The sequence below is a fragment of the Homo sapiens genome, chromosome 3 (genome assembly GCF_000001405.40).
Source record: "Homo sapiens chromosome 3, GRCh38.p14 Primary Assembly".
Classification (NCBI taxonomy): domain Eukaryota; kingdom Metazoa; phylum Chordata; class Mammalia; order Primates; family Hominidae; genus Homo; species Homo sapiens.
In genome coordinates this window covers 57,105,073-57,124,449 of record NC_000003.12, presented here as the reverse complement: position 1 = coordinate 57,124,449, position 19,377 = coordinate 57,105,073, and the positions used below count along the sequence as shown (strand labels likewise).

The window sequence follows — 19,377 nt, the reverse complement described above, 5'->3', positions numbered from 1 at the left end:
TTCTGACCCTTCTGTCTTCCTCTTGTAAAGACCCTTGTGGTTATTGGGCCCACTTGGATAACCCAGAATACTCTCCCCATCTCAGGATACTTGAACTTAATTACATCTCCATAGTCCCTTTTGCTCTGTAAAATAGCATACTCACAGGTTCTGGGAACTAGAATGTGGACACGTTTAAGGGGCTATCATTCTACCTATCCTGAGGTGTAAGGAAAATAGAAGTGCACCATGGGCTAGCCTGGGATACCATTGCTAAGGTGGTTTCTGAGGGCTCTAGAGCAGCTGAAGTATTATTTGGGCGTTGAGCTAAGGACAGCCTTATAGAGCATCTGTGATGCATGTGCTGAGAAGCTGTGCACTTGAGGAATTCCAGGAATGAAAGGTTTTTGTTTGTTTGTTTGTTTGAGATGGAGTTTTGTTCTTGTCACCCAGGATGGAGTACGATGGCGCGATCTCGGCTCACTGCAACCTCCGCCTCCCGGGTTCAAGCGATTCTCCCGCCTCAGCCTCCCAAGTAGCTGGGATTACAGGTGCCCGCCATTACACCCAGTTAATTTTTTGTATTTTTAGTAGAGATGGGGTTTCACCATGTTGGTCAGGCTGGTCTCAAACTCCTGACTTCAGGTGATCCACCTGCCTCGGCCTCCCAAAGTGCTGAGATTACAGGTGTGAGCCACCACGCGCAGCCAAAAGGTCTTTAAAATGCATGTAAGAACTAATACCTGGGATGTTTTCTCCTGCTTCTGAGCTCCATGACCCGGCGTGGATGGCCACGGGGTCTTATGATCTCTGATTTTCTGTGGAATTGGAACTACCATTTTGCATCTACATCCCTAAAAGTGCCATGCTACTCAAATTGTGGGAATGAATTACCATGTTCCCCTCAAGTGAGTAGCAGTCAGACCGATGTGTCAGGAACACACAGTGTGATGCGGCAAGCAGCCCACCAGGGGAGGGGACCTGGGTGATAGGAAGAGAAGAGGAGGGGATTCTGAGAATGCAGGCATGCCCAAGGACATTTTCCGAGCAGAACTGCAGTGCCCAAAGGGTTTAGAAGGTGCAAGAGGGAGTGACTGGGAAGGTAGGCAGGTGTCACATCAGGAATGATCTGGAGGGACAGGGAGCCAGTGAAGGGCTCAAAGCAGGGGAGCGAGGGCAGATATGCACGTGGCCAGAGCCCCTTGAGGTCAAGACCTGGGTCTGCTTCATAGCTGAGTGCCCAGCCTTGTGAGTCTTAGGCCAAGGTGGAATGCTCAGCAGAGAGTGAATGGATGCCACAGGTAAGCTTCACTTTCCTTCCAGGCCTGCCTCACTGGACCCCCCTCTGAACAGTTCCACACACATCACAGAGACTTTATTTGGAGGGATTTAGGTTCTTGAATGCATGGCATAGCACACCTCACTGTCTTGGGCTCCTTTCCACAATGCATTGGCCATTGCCCAATAAGTACCTGCAAATAACATGTTGCAATAGGAATAAGAGGAAACAAACAAACAAATATAAGGGAACTGGAACAAAAAAAAAAGCTACATCTGACAAGTAAGGTGATTGGTCGCCAGGGTCCCTATGCACTAGGGAGCATATTGTTAGATGGAATGTGTTTCCTTTTTGCGAAGTCCCTCCTGTACCCGGCTTCATTTGATCTTCCTCAAAACCACCTCCTAGAGGAAAGCCATGTAAATTCTTTAAAAAAAAAAAAAAAAAAAAAGACAGTTGAGGAGACCCAGACCCAGTGGTGTAGAGCAGCGGTCCCCAACCTTTTTAGCACCAGGGACTAGTTTCGTGGAAGACAATTTTTCCATGCACTGGGGGGTCAGTAGGGGATGGTTTCGGGATCAGACTGTTCCACCTCAGATCATCAGGCATTAGTTAGATTCTCATAAGGAGCACAGAGCCTAGATCCCTCGTATGCACAGTTCACAATAGGGTTTGTGCTCCTATAAGAATCCAGTGCCACTGCTGATCTGACAGGAGTCGGAGCTCAGGTGGTAATGCTCTCCCACTGCCCACCTGCTGCGCGGCCTGGCTCCTAACAGGCCATGGACCAGGACCAGTCCAGGGCCCGGGGGTTGGGGACCCCTAGAGTAGAGTGGTTTGCCATCGGGCATCCGGTGGAGGATGGGAGGATTGAGGTACTAACCTTGGCTTCTAGATTATAGTTTTCTTTTCCTCCCATGATGTTACTCTGCTTTCCTCTTCATTCTAGCCCAGTTATCCTTCTCCTTGTTAAGCTTCTGGAATCTGTTATCTTACCCATCCTTCATTCATCCTTACTCAAGGGCTGTCTTGTGGCATTTCATACACTGTACTTACTTATGCCAGGCTCTTTCACCCTTGCTATATATACCTTGTTTTGCCATCTAAACTGGGCATTCTTGGAGGGCCAGGGTGTGATTTGAAATTTATCTGCATGCCTAGGACATAATCTACCTACCCAGTTAATCTTCTTTGAAATAATGAACCCCATGTTAATTCATTTCATGAGGGCGGGGACAGTGGCTGTTTTGTTTGCCAGCATAGCTAGCATAATGTCTGGCTCCTAATAGATGGGGAGTGAGTTTATGTCTTGGGGGCTTATAAGAGCACAGAACAGTGTGATTTGGGGATCTTGGGCTTTGGTCTTGGGGGATTGGATTGTCTCGTTCCTGGTCTCCTACCTGGTTGTGTTACTGTGGTGTCTGCCATCTGCAGGTTGAGCAGCCTTTAGTTGCACAAACTGTGGTCTTGTCCCTAAGCAGTTGTAGACACTCTTAGGATTTTAATAAGTTCACAACACTTTCCAAAGTGTTTTAGTTCAGGTGAGGAGTTCTGGAATCTTGTATATGTGGGGAAGAGAGGCTAGAAGGAGGAAAGCTGGAGAAGGAAGGTGAACTATGAAGAAGGGGAGCTTCAGTAGATTGTGGGCTGGTGTGTCATGTGGATTTAGGTTTTCTGTTACTTATTCCTCACCTTAGAGTGGGGGGTGGGTGGTGTGTCCATGTGCCCCTCTCTGCCCAATTGTGCTTTCCCAAGGCCCATGTATATCTGAGTTCAGGGATACACTTTCAGTGGGTGTGCCTGGCTTCAGGATAAGCAGCGTGAAGATGCCTGTGGCATATGGATGTCATGTGGTTGTGGCTGAAAACCCTGGGCTCCATCAGAAGTGTTCTCCACATTTTGTTTTGGTGTAACAATTACCCATTAAATGCCAGGCTGCCCGCATATGGTTCCCTCCAACATCCTTCTTGTTGAGTGGAAACTTCAGGTGTGTGGCTGGAATATTTTCCCATCATTTAGCATTTCAGAATTAACATATTTTGGAGAATTCTGTGATTAATGCTGAACGGCACATTTGCAGAGTATTACAGAAACAGTTAAATTGGAGTTGGTAGATCTGTAGCTGCTCTTTCTCATGATGCATAAGTGGTGGAAAAGGCGGGGTCAACGGGAGGATTCCGGGGCTCACTCTGTGGATGCTATAATTAAAGTGGGAAGTCTGGCACAGTTGTTAGCCCTGGTATTGAGTGCAGATGGCTGACGGCCACATCACCAAGAGTAAGAGTTAGGCCTTTTAAAGTCTTTTTTCTTTTTCTTTTATGACCCACACTATGTATTCCAAGCATAGGTATGGATGCAGTGAATAATTTTCTCATTAAAAGTAACAGCTTATTCCCATACTCATTCCCAGTCTTGAAATGAGAAACCAGTTTCCTTAGAGTTGAGGAATTGCCTATCTGTCGTGGCTTAATAGAGCTTGCGGATGAGGGCGTCTGGAGTAGATGAATTTTATAACCAATCAGTGCTCAAAGTGGATCTAACTGGAAGGGCTCCAGCTGGCAGCTCTTGGTCTCTCTCCCAATTTTACTGTTAATGAATTATTATTTAACCCCTAAACATAGAACAGCCTGCCCTTATTGTTTTAGGGGAAGTGAGTGCTCATGATCCCTATGGCCTGGCAGTTAGGAATCTCCTGGGCTGGCGGGAGTTTGACAGCTGTGGGGGGCCATGAAGCGGGCAGAAAGAGTGGTGGATGATGTCCGGGGACTGGCATGACCCTGGGTCTCAGCAGTGCTGCTTGCATTTGGACTCCATGGGGCTTTGTGTTGGAAGAGCAAATTGGCTTCACTCTGCATCATGTTCTCTTGTTTTCCCACAGGGAGTGGGGCCAGCCAGCAGAAACAGTGGGCTGTACAACATCACCTTCAAATATGACAGTAAGTAACCGCCTTTATTGCTGAAGAATGGAGCCCTTTGAGTCATCTAGAGATTACATAGCCATGCTTAATCAAGGACTCTGCAGTCTTGGGGTTGACGAATTTTCTGAACCTGTTCAGGTTTGTCAACAGCTAAAGCAGCTCAGTCTCAATTAGGCCACTCAAGTATTTGGGAGCTTGACCAGGTCAAGTGTCTTCCATAGTGTTCAGAAAAGTTGTGTAAGGAGACTTTCCCTGTGTTCCTTGGGGTTTATCTGCATGTGTTGTTAAGGACATAGCTGCCAGTATGGCCCAGCAAGGAACACATAAACAAAGTTGCCCCAGTGCAGGGTGCTAGGGAATGGTGGACAGTATGGCAAACTGGATAGCTCATGTCTAGTCTGAGGGGAGCCTTGACTCCTTAATTCCAAATATGGTGGCCATGAGGAATTCCCACTGAAGGTAGCAAATTGATTTCCAAGAATAGTGAGAAATTTGTGCTTTTTGTGTAAACATTTTTTAATAATGGCAGTTATTTTTAAAATTTCACACAGAGTGAATCTGTGTGAAATTCACACAAGGTGAATCTGTGTGAAATTCACACAAGGTGAATCTGTGTGAAACTGGGTTCCAGATGGGCCAGGGATCTGCAGTCTGCAGTTGGTTGGCCATCGCTGACCAGGCCTGGGCACCAACCGCAGTACCCCATCTATCAGTTCTTTTCTCTTTTCTTTTCTTTTTCTTTTTTGAGATAGAGTCTCACTCTGTCACCCAGGCTGGAGTGTAGTGGCGTGATCTCTGCTCACTGCAACCTCCACCTCCTGGGTTCAAGCGATTCTCATGCCTCAGCCTCCTGAGCAGCTGGGATTACAGGTGCATGCCACCACACCTAGTTTTGTTTTTTGTTTTTGTTTTTGTTTTTTTTGAGATGGAGTCTCGCTCTGTCGCCCAGGCTGGAGTGCAGTGGCACGATCTTGGCTCACTGCAAGCTCCACCTCCCGGGTCCGTGCCATTCTCCTGCCTCAGCCTCCCGAGTAGCTGGGACTACAGGCGCCTGCCACCACGCCAGGCTAATTTTTTGTATTTTTAGTAGAGATGGGGTTTCACTGTGTTAGCCAGGATGGTCTTGATCTCCTGACCTTGTTATCCTCCTGCCTCGGCCTCCCAAAGTGCTGGGATTACAGGAGTGAGCCACCGCGCCCGGCCACACACCCAGTTAGTTTTTGTATTTTTAGTAGAGACTGGGTTTTGCCATGTTAGCCAGGCTGGTCTTGAACTCCTGGCCTCAAGTTATCTGCCCGCCTCTGCCTCCCAAAGTGCTGGGATTACAGGTGTGAGCCACTGTGCCTGGCCCCACCTATCAGTTCTGTGAGCTGTGGCTAGTGATTTGACTTCTCCAGGCTTCAGTTTTCTCTTTTAAAATAAAACTTAGTTTCCTTCTTCTAGCATCATTTTGAGGTTTAAATGAGGTAATGCTTATAACTGCTCAACTTGGGAGCTGACTGCAATGTACATTCATTAAATTGATATCTATTAATATAGAAGCCAGTCCAACTGGAGTTGGAATGCAAGCACCACTTTTTTGCCCTTTCTCTCAAAAAAGGGTGACTCTTTCTGACTGAACTGTTTTCTAAGGGCATGTGGGGGGTGCTTTTTCTAAGCAGCTCCTTTCATTCATAAGAAGGTAGTTGTATAGAATTGTGATCATTTTAGCTTTATCAGCCATAATTTAAGTAAAAATGACAAGAAGGAACTTGACTCATATTTAGTGACGTCTGGCATCTGATTAATCTCTTGGACAGGGTTATGAATCAATGTAAGTAAAGGGCTTAGGTTGCATTGAGGCCTCTCAATGCATAATCACTGCTAAAGCAGGATTGTAAAAGTTGCGGTTACAATCTAACAATTTTAAGATACAAATATGTGTGTCAGATTCACACCCACAGTTGCTGGCATGGCTATTTTAGGCTAACCAGTGAGGACTTACACGTGCAACTCAGGGAGCTCACATTGGTGGTGTATATATGTTCTGGGTAAATGCTGGGTAGATGCTAATGAAAGATTTGCACATCCATGATACTTGGTTCAGCTAAGTAAAGACGTGGAAGGGATCTTTCTTTGAGTTACAAAGTGAATTTCTAATATGTGCTCTTGGTCCTAGCAGATCTTGTATTACATTCAAGAGTTCAGAATTTTCCCGTCAGCTGCAAACAAACATTTGTATCTCTAATTTAATATGGGGTTTGTGAAGGAGGATCTCTCCGTGTAAAACTTTAAAGTATCTTGCTGTTTTTTTAATAATACCAAATATTTGGCCCACATACCTATGCCTGTCTCTTAGTCATTACTTTCTTTTTAATTCTTCAACATTTAATTAAAATTTAATTCACAGCTTGTATTGACTCCTGAGACGTTTGAAGTTCAGTTGCATTTTGGGAAAATGTCATTTGGACATAAATTTTTTGCAACCAGAATCCAACACTTTGGACTTGCTAGTAATTGGATCCAGGCTGTGTAGAAAAACTTATTCCATATTTTCCATTGAAAAAGATATTTCTGTCTTCCACAGGGAAGTTCCTGTTACTGCTCAGTTGACTGGTTACTAGTCAACTGAAATAACTTGTTTGAAATAACTAAGAAACAATTACTGGGTTTTCAACAAAATTACTAAAAATCGTATTTTTCTATTCCTTTGTCATTTAATGTTATACAGGAAGAAAATGTCTTGCCATTAAGTCAAAATTAAATTTTATAAGTCTCTCTGCCTCCTTTGGCCTTGAATTCCATGTTTTTTCCTTTACATTCTGAGGTGGTATGCCCAAGTAGGTTATATTAAATTTTCTTAATTCTTAGACTTTATATTGGCTGGGCACAGTGGCTCATGCCTGTAATCCCAGCACTTTGGGAGGCCAAAGCGGGTGGATCACCTGAGGTCAGGAGTTCGAGACCAACCTAACCAATAAGGTGAAACTCTGTCTCTACTAAAAATACAAAAATTAGCTGGGCGTGGTGGCATGTGCCTGTAGTCCCAGCTACTCAGGAGGCTGAGACAGGAGAATTGCTTGAACCCAGGAGGCGGAGGTTGCAGTGAGCTGAGATTATGCCACTGCACTCCAGCCTGGGTGACAGAGCGAGACTCTGTCTCAAAAAAAAAAAAAAAAAATTCTTAAACTTTATATTGCATAACTATATTTACAGAAACCCAAACAGTATTAATTTTGGCATTAGGAATGAACAAAGAAAACAATGACAACAACAACCATTATTTGCTCTTGTTCATGCATCTTTTCAGAGCTGTTTGATTCTCTTTCATTATGGACCACAATAAATCAAAATATTTGAACTTTACAAGTATGACAGGATCTTGCTTTTTTTTTTTTTTTTTTAATATTTTGGGAAGCTGGTCTCAGCCAGGATTTTTACAGGCTGAATACCTCTGATTCAGAACTCATGTTGGTAGCAATAAGCTCTGTGCTGTGATAGAAGTGGTAAGAGCTGATCTCTCATAGCTGCAGTTTCCTCATTTGTATAGTGAGGATGTTAAACCAGATGTTATAAATTTTTTCCTATTCTAAAATCTCTTCTTTACCCAGAGAACATATGTTGATTGCTTTAAGAGTGAATATTCACTAGAAGTAGAATTTGGTTTTATTAACATCCTTTGAAAGAAGTAATATTGAAATGTAAATATGGGCCAGGCATGGTGGCTCACGCCTCTAATCTCAGCACCTTGGGAGGCCAAGGTGGGTGGATCACCTGAGGTCGGGAGTTCGAGACCAGCCTGACCAACATGGAGAAACCTCGTCTCTACTAAAAAATACAAAAATTAGCCGGGTGTGGTGGCGCATGCCTGTAATCCCAGCTACTCGGGAGGCTGAGGCAGGAGAATCGCTTCAACTCAGGAGGCAGAGGTTGCCATGAGCCGAGATTGCGCCATTGCACTCCAGCCCGGGCAACAAGAGCGAAACTCTGTCTCAAAAAAAAAAAAAAAAAAGAAAAGAAAAAAAGAAATGTAAATATGACTGCTTTTGAAGCTGACGGAGTTGAGTGGAGGAAGGGAGTGTGCCTAATGTAGTCAGGCAATAAAGCAGAATACAGGCAGCATGAAGGATGGAGTTTTACAAGTATGGGGGTTGTGTTTTAGTGTGTGTATGTTATGCTTTAATACATTTAAAAAGAGGAATATTATGTGCATGTTAAAACAAGGCTTGGAAGGGTATTCATTAGAATGTTCATTGCACCTCTGTGTGGTAAGAGGTTATGAATGCCTTTTATATTTTTCTTATAGTCTTTTGTGGTTTTTCAATGTCTGCAATGAACATTTTTAGTCATAAAAATGGGAAATGTGCAGGGAGACTCTACAGGGAGAAAAAGGGAGACTCACAGAGCTTCTTACAAAGTCCCCTGGAATGCTTTATCCCAAATAAAAACACCCTGGCTTCAGAGGGGTAATGGACAGGTTTGGATGTTTGATGGAACTGATGATCTTTTGCAGCAGATACTAAAAGAGAGGGTGTTCAAGTCTGATCATTGAGAAAGAAATGGGGATGAAGCAGCATAAGAATTACAAGTGGTGCCTGCTGGGGATGGTGAATGGTTCTCCCTGCAAGAGTGGCCAGACAGCTCATGGCCATTCTCTGAAGTCGCAGCCTGATTCTGGCCGGAAGGTTTTGGCAGCTTTTTAGGAAACTTGCCGATTTTGAAGGTGTATTTAGCAAGACCAGGTGGTGCAGCTGCTATGGCTACATTGACAGGTGGCAGTGAGTAAACTCCTCAGGCAAAATCAAAGATTGGTGTGGCTTCTGTTTTTTGAGTAATGTGGGGTGCCTTGGATTTACTGGGGGTTGCTGGTGTCTTTGATGACACATGGTGTCTAAGAACAAAAATTTTACCTTTGACCAATGCTAGTTAACATCTTTATCACTTGTCACTGAGTTAGTAGCCTGTGCTAACTGGGTTAAGAATCTTGCTGAGAATCTCTCCCCTATGAATTCACATCTGAGTGTTAGTTCCTTTCCCCCAATCACCTGGCCCTCTAGGTTTTTTCTAAAAACAAACAATGCCCAAGTTATTTAGCGATTGTTTTGTTTCATATCACTCTTTAATGCTGAAAATTGGTTGAATTGATGTAAATAATTACTGATTTAGGTCTAAAAAAAGTTAATGCCAGGTACACACACAAACTCCACACTGTATAAGATCCTCCCAACATTGCCCTGGAATTTAACATGGGATGAGTGGGTGGTGGTGGTGGTGCTACAAATCATTCCTCTGTAACATCTTACAGTTTTCCAAGCAGTAGTCAACCTCTCATGTCTTATTTTGGGCTTTTGAGGGACACATCTTTAACAGAATGGATTTGGCCACCTTCAGACATGCCCTGTTTATTTTGATAAGATGAACCTGAAAATAAAAATGAAATTTTAAATTTAACTGTTCTCATTCTCCCTACTCTCTAGATTGTACCACCTACTTGAATCCAGTGGGGAAGCATGTGATTGCTGACGCCCAGAATATCACCATCAGCCAGTATGCTTGCCATGACCAAGTGGCAGTCACCATTCTTTGGTCCCCAGGGGCCCTCGGTGAGTGGTCAAAAATCGAGTGCATGGTGATAACCTGGGTGGATAGGGCCCAGTGCAAAGGTCCCACATGATGGTCTCCAGGAACCAGGCAGGTCTTGATGTGAGTGAGGCTTATGTTGGATTGGGCACAGATACACTTTGTTGCATATATTTGCTGGGCGTACACATGGCTTGAGGCTGTGCCCTATGGTCTTTTGTTTCTTCTACTGTTATTGTTATTCACATGGGCTTGAAAAGTAATATTGTGTGAGTAATAAATGGCACTGATGTCTTGGCCTCTGTCTCAGCCCTAGTCAGCGGTGGGAGGGCAGCAGTGCCAAGAAAGCCCATGGCCCATCCAAGGGCGTAATGGCCATCCAGCATTAGCAGTCTCCGCGGACACAGAGACATGCCAGCCCAGCATTGGCACATGTTGTGATTTTTCAGGAAAATCCCAGTGTTCATGAAAGACAATGAAATCAATTCATTTTTAAATGTTGGCAACAAATTGAATTTTTTTTTTTTTTTTGAGACATAGTTTCGCTCTTTCACCCAGGCTGGAGTGCAATGGTGCGATCTCGGCTCACTGCAACTTCCGCCTTCCAGTTTCAAGCGATTCTCCTGCCTCAGCTGCCCGAGTAGCTGGGATTATAAGTGCCCACCACCACACCCAGCTAATTTTTGTATTTTTAGTAGAGATGGGGTTTCACCATGTTGGCCAGGCTGGTCTCAAACTCCTGACCTCGTGATCCGCCCGCCTCGGCCTCCAAAAGTGCTGGGATTACAGGCGTGAGCCACTGCGCCCAGCTTTAATTTTTATTTAAACTGTATAAGCCAAAAAAACCAAATGGAAAAGAACAAAAAAAAGGAGGCCAAGCATGGTGGCTTACACCTGTAATCTCAGCACTTTGGGAGGCCGAGATGGGAGGATCATTTGAGGCCAGGAGTTCGAGACTAGCCTGGGCAACAAAGTGAGACCCCCCCATTTCTACAAAAAGATTAAAAAATTATCCGGGCATGGTGGCACAAGTCTGTAGTCTTAGCTACTTGGACGGCCGAGGCAGGAGGATCAGTTGAGCCCAGCATTTGATGCTACAGTTAGCTATGATTATCGTGCCACTGCACTCAAGCCTGAGCTATAGAGTGAGAGACCCTGTCTCTTTATAAAACAAAACAGGCTGGGCGTGGTGGCTCATGCCTGTAATTCCAGCACTTAGGGAGGCCGAGGCAGGTGGATCACCTGAGGTCAGGAGTTTGAGACTAGCCTGACCAACATGGTGAAACCCCGTCTCCACTAAAAATACAAAATCAGCTGGGTGTGGTGTCGCATGCCTGTAATCCCAGTTACTTAGGGGGCTGAGGCAGGAGAATCACTTGAACCCACAAGGCAGAGGTTGCGGTGAGCCGAGATCGCACCATTGCGCTCCAGCCTGGACAACAAGAGGGAAACTCTGTCTCAAAAATAAATAAATAAATAAAAAACAAAAGAAAAAACTAAAAGAAAAAAGCAAACCTGTATTATATGGCTAGATTCGGGTTGGGGCTAAATCTGCTTGTCCTCTTGAATGAATTGAAGATACACAGGAAAGAATGGGTTAGCCAAGTGTGAGATGTAGGAAGGGGACCATTTGTTCAGGTGGGCCTGGGTTTGAACCCCCAGAATTGATCTTTCACATGAGGCATTGAACCTCACTGAACCCCAGCTTCCCAATCTGTAGAGGGGAGATGAGAACTGCCTCATGGTTAGAGACACACATGGTACATTTTCAGAGAGAACTCTCAAAGAATAGTGGCTGCTATTACCATGATCAGAACCTGGTTCTCAGGACTGCCGCTTTGACACTGCCACCTGATGTTACAAGTTTGTGAAAACCTGGCCAAGGGAGAAGTAAAGTCTGAATTTCTTAATCGGAACAGGATAAATCTCAGAAGAACCAGATTGCAGGAGAGGGAGGATAAAGCAGACCCATGGGCCGAACCACTTCTCCACATCAGTACTTCTGGGTTTTAACCTACTGGGGTTTCCAAAAATAATATTATCTTAACATTTAAAGATTAAAAACATTTTCTGTAGATAAAAAGGAAGTGGTCATTCCATGTAAGGCTTAAATGGTTAAGGGGTTGGCCTGACGAATTGCAGGCCCCCTTGTTAGAATGAAAGTAAGAGATGTGAGCTGGTGACAGGAAAACTGAACATCGACCAGTAGGGGCAGAAGTCTGCGCTTTTCCTGGATGCTGATTTATGGGTGGGGGTGGCTGGAGAGTTTCTGTTAGGTTCTATCAAGGACACTTCTTGGAAGGTAGAAAAGCATGTGAGTTAAGAGCGCTGGCTGAGAGCCAGACACTTCCTGGGTTCGAATCTCACCTCTGTCATTTTATTCCTGTGTGACCCTGGGCAAGCCAGTTAGCTACTATAAACCTCAGTTTCCTCATCTGTAAAATGGGGATAATAACACCTTCCTTCTGTGGTTGTTGGGAGGATTTGATGAGTTTAAATGATGGGAGAGAGAGCAAATAAGTTCTTTCCTGGGAAGCTGCTCTATAAAATTACTAATCATTACATAACTACAAGGTGTTAATAGTACTGTAATGTGTCACAGGGATAAAGGAATTACGTTTGCTGCCTCTTCCCTCGGCCTCAGAACCTTGGTGTAGCGGTTTTTAGGCTAATCTTTTAAAAATAAGAACAAGAACCACCGCTTGCCACCCCAACTGATGAATTTTTTTTTCTTTCTTTCTTTTTTTTTTTTTGAGACAGAGTCTCACTCTGTCGCCCAGGCTGGAGTGCAGTGGCATGATCTCAGCTCACTGCAAGCTCCGCCTCCCAGGTTCACACCATTCTCCTGACTCAGCCTTCCGAGTAGCTGGGACTACAGGCGCCCACCACTGTGCCCAGCTGATTTTTTTTTTGTATTTTTAGCAGAGACAGGGTTTCACCGTGGTCTCAATCTCCTGACCTTGTGATTCGCCCGCCTCGGCCTTCCAAAGTGCTGGGATTACAGGCGTGAGTCACCGCGCCCGGCCCCAACGATGAATTTTTATGTAATTGTGAGATGTATGGCTGTTAATGGTATTAATCACTTGGCTTTCGTTAACTAGTCATTCTGGGAATGTTGCGTAAATTAAATCTTAGTATTAATACTAAGGATTTGTTTTAAAAAGTTTTTTTGGATCTCAAAAGGCAAGTCCTGCGAGATCTAAAATAGTTGTTGGTCTAATGACTTTGTCATCACCTTGTCTGAATCTCTGGTGGTTGCTCAGCTGGCTTTCACCCCCACAGGAAGCTTTGTAATTGAAATACAGCATGGCAGAGTCGATACCTGTGCACAGTAATACTCTGAAACCCTAAAATGTGAAGCTGTAATTGTTGCTCCTCTTCCCTACTCACCAAGAAATATGTATTCTTCATCAAATAATTATAGGATTGGAGAACCTATTTGAAAGAGAAAAAGATTTTCCTGGCCTTTATCATCAATAAATTTCCCACCTGGTTAATTGCATCCTGTGTAATTACTTTTGTCCTGGGAGGGGAAGGGTTGAAAATGTTCAGAAGGAATGTGAAATCGATATCTCGCCATTGCGGCAGGCTTTGGGGCTCTCCAGCTGCAGCTGGACCACTTCAGTCTCCGTGGGATACACAAACCCGGTGCTGGCGCTTGTGACCGTCAGAGCTTAATCCTTTTGAAAGCATCTAGTCGGACGTGCAGTGGGGGGAGCTCAGGTGGCAGGAGGCTGGGCTGGTGTCTTTCAGCGGCGCTGTGGGTGTCTCGGGGCCTCGGAGGCTGTATGAAGAGCACACACTGGGCAACCCTTGGGTGTCTGCCTTTCAGGCATGATTAGAGCAAGAACCGCTTTGTAAATCACACAGGCATTCCCCTAAGCTATTTAATCTCAAGCCTCAGAACCCCTTGGGTGCAGACACAATTTGTTGGGAATTTTGTATGTTGCTCAGTGAGATGTGCCAAAAAATGTAGAGCTAAAACTTAAAGTGGAAACATGGTTTTGGGGGATTCCCTAGTCAACACTGGAAATTATCATCAGCCAAATGTATTCTGTGTAATGACCTAGAAATTATATATTCCACTTCAGACTTTTTATGACCAATTGTAACTGGAGTCTAAATATTTGAACCCTAATGCCAGAGAGGCAATAGGTATTTATGAAATAGCTGGCTGGATTAGGGATTAATTAGTAATGGTGGGATGGAGAAAATCACCTGGTCTTTACCAGAGGAATGCAGGGGGTGTGTTTTTTCCATTCTATAGACTCAGATACCCTGGCCACAGTTAGAATTCCTTTAACTCTGGTGTGTAGGTAGAGAAGATGGTAATCTTGGAGGAAGAAGAGTGTGTTCAGAAGTAATTAGGTTCACTATTAATAAAAGCATTCTGCTTTGCTTAGGCATCGAATTCCTGAAAGGATTTCGGGTAATACTGGAGGAGCTGAAGTCGGAGGGAAGACAGTGCCAACAACTGATTCTAAAGGATCCGAAGCAGCTCAACAGTAGCTTCAAAAGAACTGTAAGTCACACTGGGGAACGTGCTCCTGAAGACATGCCATTGTTCCAGGGTCCTGAATAGTGTATTCAAAGTCTGAAATTGGAGAAGGAGGGGCTATGGGGTCCACCCCACCCGCCAAGGTGGGCAAGAATGGTACAGCAGCACCTTGAGCCTGCTCCACGCTCCCAGGGAAATTCTTCAGCACCTCCCTGTGTAAACATGCCTCTCGGGTTACTGCTGGAGCAGTGATCCTGGAAGGTGTCTTTGTGCTCCAAAGAGTGTATGTGGGCTCACCCTGCGCCCCAACTCTGAGGTTCAGTATTAACAAGCCATGGGTTCTTTGCCAAAAAACAGACCGCATTGTCCATCTTCATGGTTAAGCGATCCAAATCTCAAGTTAGTCCAGAAACTAGACCTGACTTCCTGCTTCCCTGGAACATGTCCTGCAGCTCTGGAGTTGTGTCTGGGTGGCAGTTGGGGTAGGAGCGAAGACCTTATGAAGGTGGAGGGGTGGGTAATTTCTCCATGATGTCACTGTGTTTTTGTTCCCTTTTAGGGAATGGAATCTCAACCTTTCCTGAATATGAAATTTGAAACGGATTATTTCGTAAAGGTTGTCCCTTTTCCTTCCATTAAAAACGAAAGCAATTACCACCCTTTCTTCTTTAGAACCCGAGGTGAGTATGGCCTTTCCTGCCTGGTTCCCATGAGAAGACTTTTCTCCGCTTTTAATGATTTTTCTACAGAAATGTGTTCAAGAACGTGCCAAGGCCGGGCGCGGTGGCTCACACCTCTAATCCCAGCACTTTGGGAGGCCGAGGCAGGCAGATCACAAGGTCAGGAGTTCGAGACCAGCCTGGCCAACATGGTGAAACCCTGTCTCTCTAAAAATACAAAAATTAGCCAGGCGTGGTGGCAGGCGCCTGTAATCCCACTACTCGGGAGGCTAAGGCAGGAGAATTGCTTGAACCTGGGAGACAGAGGTTTCAGTGAGCCAAGATTGGGCCACTGCACTCTAGCCTGAGTGATAGAGCAAGATTCCATCTCAGGGGGAAACAAACAAACAAACAAACAAAAAACATGCCAAATACTGGTATGAAACAAGCATGGCAAGGAGAAAAGCATCCAGAAAAACACTTTTTAGAATTAAGGTTAGGTATAGACACTGCTCATCTAACCGGATAGACCCACTCCTGGCTTGTTCTAGAACAGACCTGACAGTTGATATTTTTGAGGGTGCTGTGACCACCGCTAAGACAGTCTGCATTACCAGGCACAGCACATGCCTATGCTCTCGGCTATTTGGGATGCTGAGGCAGCAGGATCACTTGAGCCCACGAGTTTGAGGCTAGCCTGGGCAACATAGCAAGACCCCATTTCTAGTTAAAAAAGACAGATGGCCAGGCGCGGTGGCTCATGCCTGTAATCCCAACACTTTGGGAGGCCAAGATGGGTGAATCACCTGAGGTCAGTAGTTCGAGACCAGCCTGAAAAATATGGTGAAACCCCGTCTGTACTAAAAATACAAAAATTAGCCGGGCGTCATGGTGTGCGCCTGTAGTCCCAGCTACTCAGGAGGCTGCGACAGGAAAATTGCTTGAACCCAGGAGGTGGAGGTTGCAGTGAGCTGAGATCAAGCCACTGTACTCCAGCCTGGGTGAAAGAGCAAACCTCCATCTAAAAAAAAAAAAAAAAAAAAAAAAAGCCATGTATCAAAACGATTAGATTAAAGAAAAAAAATTGGCCTGGCTCGGTGGCTCATGCCTGTAATCCTGAGGCAGGAGGATTGCTTGAGCCTAGGAGTTTGAGGCCAGCCTGGGCAACATAGCAAGACCCCATTTCTAGTTAAAAAAGACAGCTGGCCTGGGGCAGTGGCTCATGCTTGTAATCCCAGCAATTTGGGAGGCCGAGGCAGGCAGATCACGAAGTCAGGAGTTCGAGACCAACCTGGTCAACATGGTCCCTGTCTCTACTAAAAATACAAAAATTAGCCGGGTGTGGTGGCATGTGCCTGTAATCTCAGCTTCTCAGGAGGCTGAGGCAGGAGAATCACTTGAACTCGGGAGGCGGAGGTTGCAGTGAGCTGAGATCATGCCGCTGCACTCCAGCCTGGGCCACAGAGCAAGACTCCATCTCAAAAAGAAAAAAAAAAAAAGGAATAAAAAGTGTAAGTTGATTTTGTGGTAAAGGTAGGAGCATGAAATGATTCCATCTTTTACCTGTTATCAGGAGGGTGGCCTGTCATTTTCAGGACTAGATTAAGAAAATTATTTTCTAGAAAGTTCTGTTTATTTAATGTCCATGTGCCAGGCCCTGTTCTAAAGGCATTCCAAATATTAACTCCAAATACCCTCTGTGACAACCCTACAAAGAATTTAGTCGTACCATCCCCACTTACTAGATGCCGAATCCCACACAGAGAAGGTGAAGGGCTTGCCGGGAGTTGGATTTGAACCCCAGAAGTCTGACTCTGGAATCCATGCTCTGAACTCAACCACCCACTGTGCTGGGTCTGTTCACCTTCTGTTCTGTACAGGTTATCTCTTTAATCTTCCTGAGTTGCTGCTTTCAAACTTTGGTGGCTGGTCGCCCTGGAACAGGCAGCAGCTCCTTCTTGCCTTCCTGATCAGTCTTTCTGTCATTCAAGGCCTTGGATGGTCAGTCCTGTCCAACATCCCCTCCTGTGAGGTCTGGTTGCAGCCCTCATCCATTGTGATGTTTCTGTTCACAACTCCAGCCTACATCAATGTTTCCCTCTGCAGAATTCTTATTGTGGTTGTTTTCTACGCAGCAGTTATTTTAACAATTGATTTCATAATTTTTTTTTTTTTTTTCGAGATGGAGTTTCGCTCTGTCGCCCAGGCTGGAGTGCAGTGGCATGATCTCGGCTCACTGCAAGCTCCGCCTCCGGGGTTCACGCCATTCTCCTGACTCAGCCTCCTGAGTAGCTGGGACTACAGGTGCCCGCCACCATGTCCAGCTAATTTTTTTGTATTTTTAGTAGAAACGGGGTTTCACCATGTTAGCCAGGATGGTCTTGATCTCCTGATCTCATGATCCACCCGCCTCAGCCTCCCAAAGTGCTGGGATTACAGGCATGAGCCACCGCGCCCGGCCCTCATAATTCTTAAAATAAAATTCCATACGGCAAAGACCATGTGTATGTCACATCATCTCTAGATGACTTGCACATAATAACCAGATAGAAGATTCAAAGAATGTGTTTATGAAAGCCTCACCTAAATCAAAATTAGTGTAATTTAAGATGAATTTTTCCCGTTGGCATAGAATCAATGTATCTTTTTGGGGGTAAGGTGGAGGCAGGGGGTGTGTTCCTGGAATGCAAACATTTATAACCATTTCAGTGCACTGTGGTTTTGATGCTGCCTTCAGTTTTCTTGGCATTATATGGAGACTCTCCCTGGGTTAGCAAGCAGCATGGCACAGTGGACTAGCTGTTTGGCCTCTCTCATTGTGTTTTTATTGCGTTTAGATTCTGTTTCAAAGCTATTGGCTTTGGTACCTGGTTTTCAGTGCTGACACTACTACTTATATGCCTGCATGTAATTTCAAGAAACCATCAAAAGCATCTTAAATTAGAATACTAGTGAAGGTTAAAATAATCCTGCAGCAGTTACCAGGACCACTCCAAAGTTCTCTTGTGTCTAAACATCTCCACAGTGGGGTAGGGGCCAGCATCATTTCTGTTTACAGCTGAAACAGAGCCTCCATGTGACTGTAGCATGAACATAGCTCTGCTGCCCTTGGCTACCAGCCTTGAAATTATGTAATGCCTGACAAGCTTTTAAAATCTGGGTGACTTTACATTGTTACCATTTATGTGGCATAAAGTGAACTGCATTAATATTTTTATATTATACCATTTAAATTTTCATAAGATACAACTGCACAGTAGTGAAAATCCTCATTGAATTGATGTATTTTATACCTTTTCTAGCATCACCCGGCACAGTATCTTTATATTTCATTGGGTTGTTGGGAGAGGAAAATGTCTAACTGTCCTAAAACTAAAAACATGTATCTTTATTCTCTTAATAGCCTGTGACCTGTTGTTACAGCCGGACAATCTAGCTTGTAAACCCTGTAAGTAATAGTGTTCTTATCTATCAAGTCTCAAAGTATCGCCACTATGATGGTGTTAGGGTAGCCTCTGGTTGCTCACTCTGGGTCCTACCTTCTTCCAGTCTGGAAGCCTCGGAACCTGAACATCAGCCAGCATGGCTCGGACATGCAGGTGTCCTTCGACCATGCACCGCACAACTTCGGCTTCCGTTTCTTCTATCTTCACTACAAGCTCAAGCACGAAGGACCTTTCAAGCGAAAGACCTGTAAGCAGGTGAGCTGCTGGGTGTATATAAAGGAACACTGCGTGTTTCAAAGCGACCCCCAGGCCACTGGAATTTGGGTTGCTCAATGTGAGCATTAGGCTTTGTTGGCTCTCAGTGGTTGGTAGATACTTGAGAATGTAATCATTGGGCATGTCTCAGGGCCATCTTGCCACTGTCCTTCATTCCCTAGTTATCTGTAACCCAGCTGTCCTGGTGGTGATATAGCCTGGTAACAGTATTGCCAAGGAATAAACAAGAAGTATTTCTCATTTGTTCATATATATGTATGAACAAATATATATATATATATATTTTTTTTTTTTTTTTTGAGATGGAGTCTTGCTCTGTTGCCCAGGCTGGAGTGCAGTGGTGTGATCTTGGCTCGCTGCAGCCTCCGCCTCCTGGGTTCAAACGATTCTCCTGCCTCAGCCTCTGGAGTAGCTAGGATTATAGGCGCATGCCACCACACCCAACTAATTTTTGTATTTTTAGTAGAGACGGGGTTCACCATGTTGCCCAGGCTGGTCTTAGACTCCTGACCTCAAGTGATCTACCCACCTTGGCCTCCCAAAGTGCTGGGATTACAGGCCTGAGCCACCACACCTGGCCTGTCCTTTTATATTTTCAGCATTCATCATGTGCTCTCTTGTGTGGCAGGCCCTGAGCTTTATGCTCCTTGAATCCATACCACTCTATGAAACAGAGGCTGCTGTCATCCCCATTTTACAGATGAGAAAGCTGAGGCTCAGGGATGTCACCTGGCTTGCTCAAGGCCGCACAGCTAGTAAGTGG

General features: G+C 44.9%; 1 protein-coding gene across 5 annotated transcripts in view, besides 1 other annotated feature; it reads left to right on the top strand.

Moving 5' to 3' along the window:
- IL17RD (interleukin 17 receptor D) overlaps positions 1–19,377 on the top strand; it is an 80,336-nt gene that overhangs the window by 45,868 nt on the left and 15,091 nt on the right. For all 5 annotated transcript variants that reach the window (NM_001318864.2, NM_017563.5, XM_047448369.1 and 2 more), the window contains 6 exons: positions 4,137–4,194; positions 9,633–9,758; positions 14,139–14,257; positions 14,793–14,913; positions 18,296–18,340; positions 18,442–18,593. In NM_001318864.2, the coding sequence (NP_001305793.1) occupies positions 14,796–14,913; positions 18,296–18,340; positions 18,442–18,593 (315 nt within the window). In that variant the 5' untranslated portion in view covers positions 4,137–4,194; positions 9,633–9,758; positions 14,139–14,257; positions 14,793–14,795. The remainder of the gene's footprint in view (positions 1–4,136; positions 4,195–9,632; positions 9,759–14,138; positions 14,258–14,792; positions 14,914–18,295; positions 18,341–18,441; positions 18,594–19,377) is intronic.
- Positions 12,826–13,539: an enhancer, noted in NCBI's record as "H3K27ac-H3K4me1 hESC enhancer chr3:57144939-57145652 (GRCh37/hg19 assembly coordinates)". NCBI's record gives its function as "activates a minimal SCP1, AML or CMV promoter by ChIP-STARR-seq in naive H9 embryonic stem cells {active_cell/tissue: H9 hESC(naive)}" and the evidence as "EXISTENCE:reporter gene assay evidence [ECO:0000049][PMID:30033119]".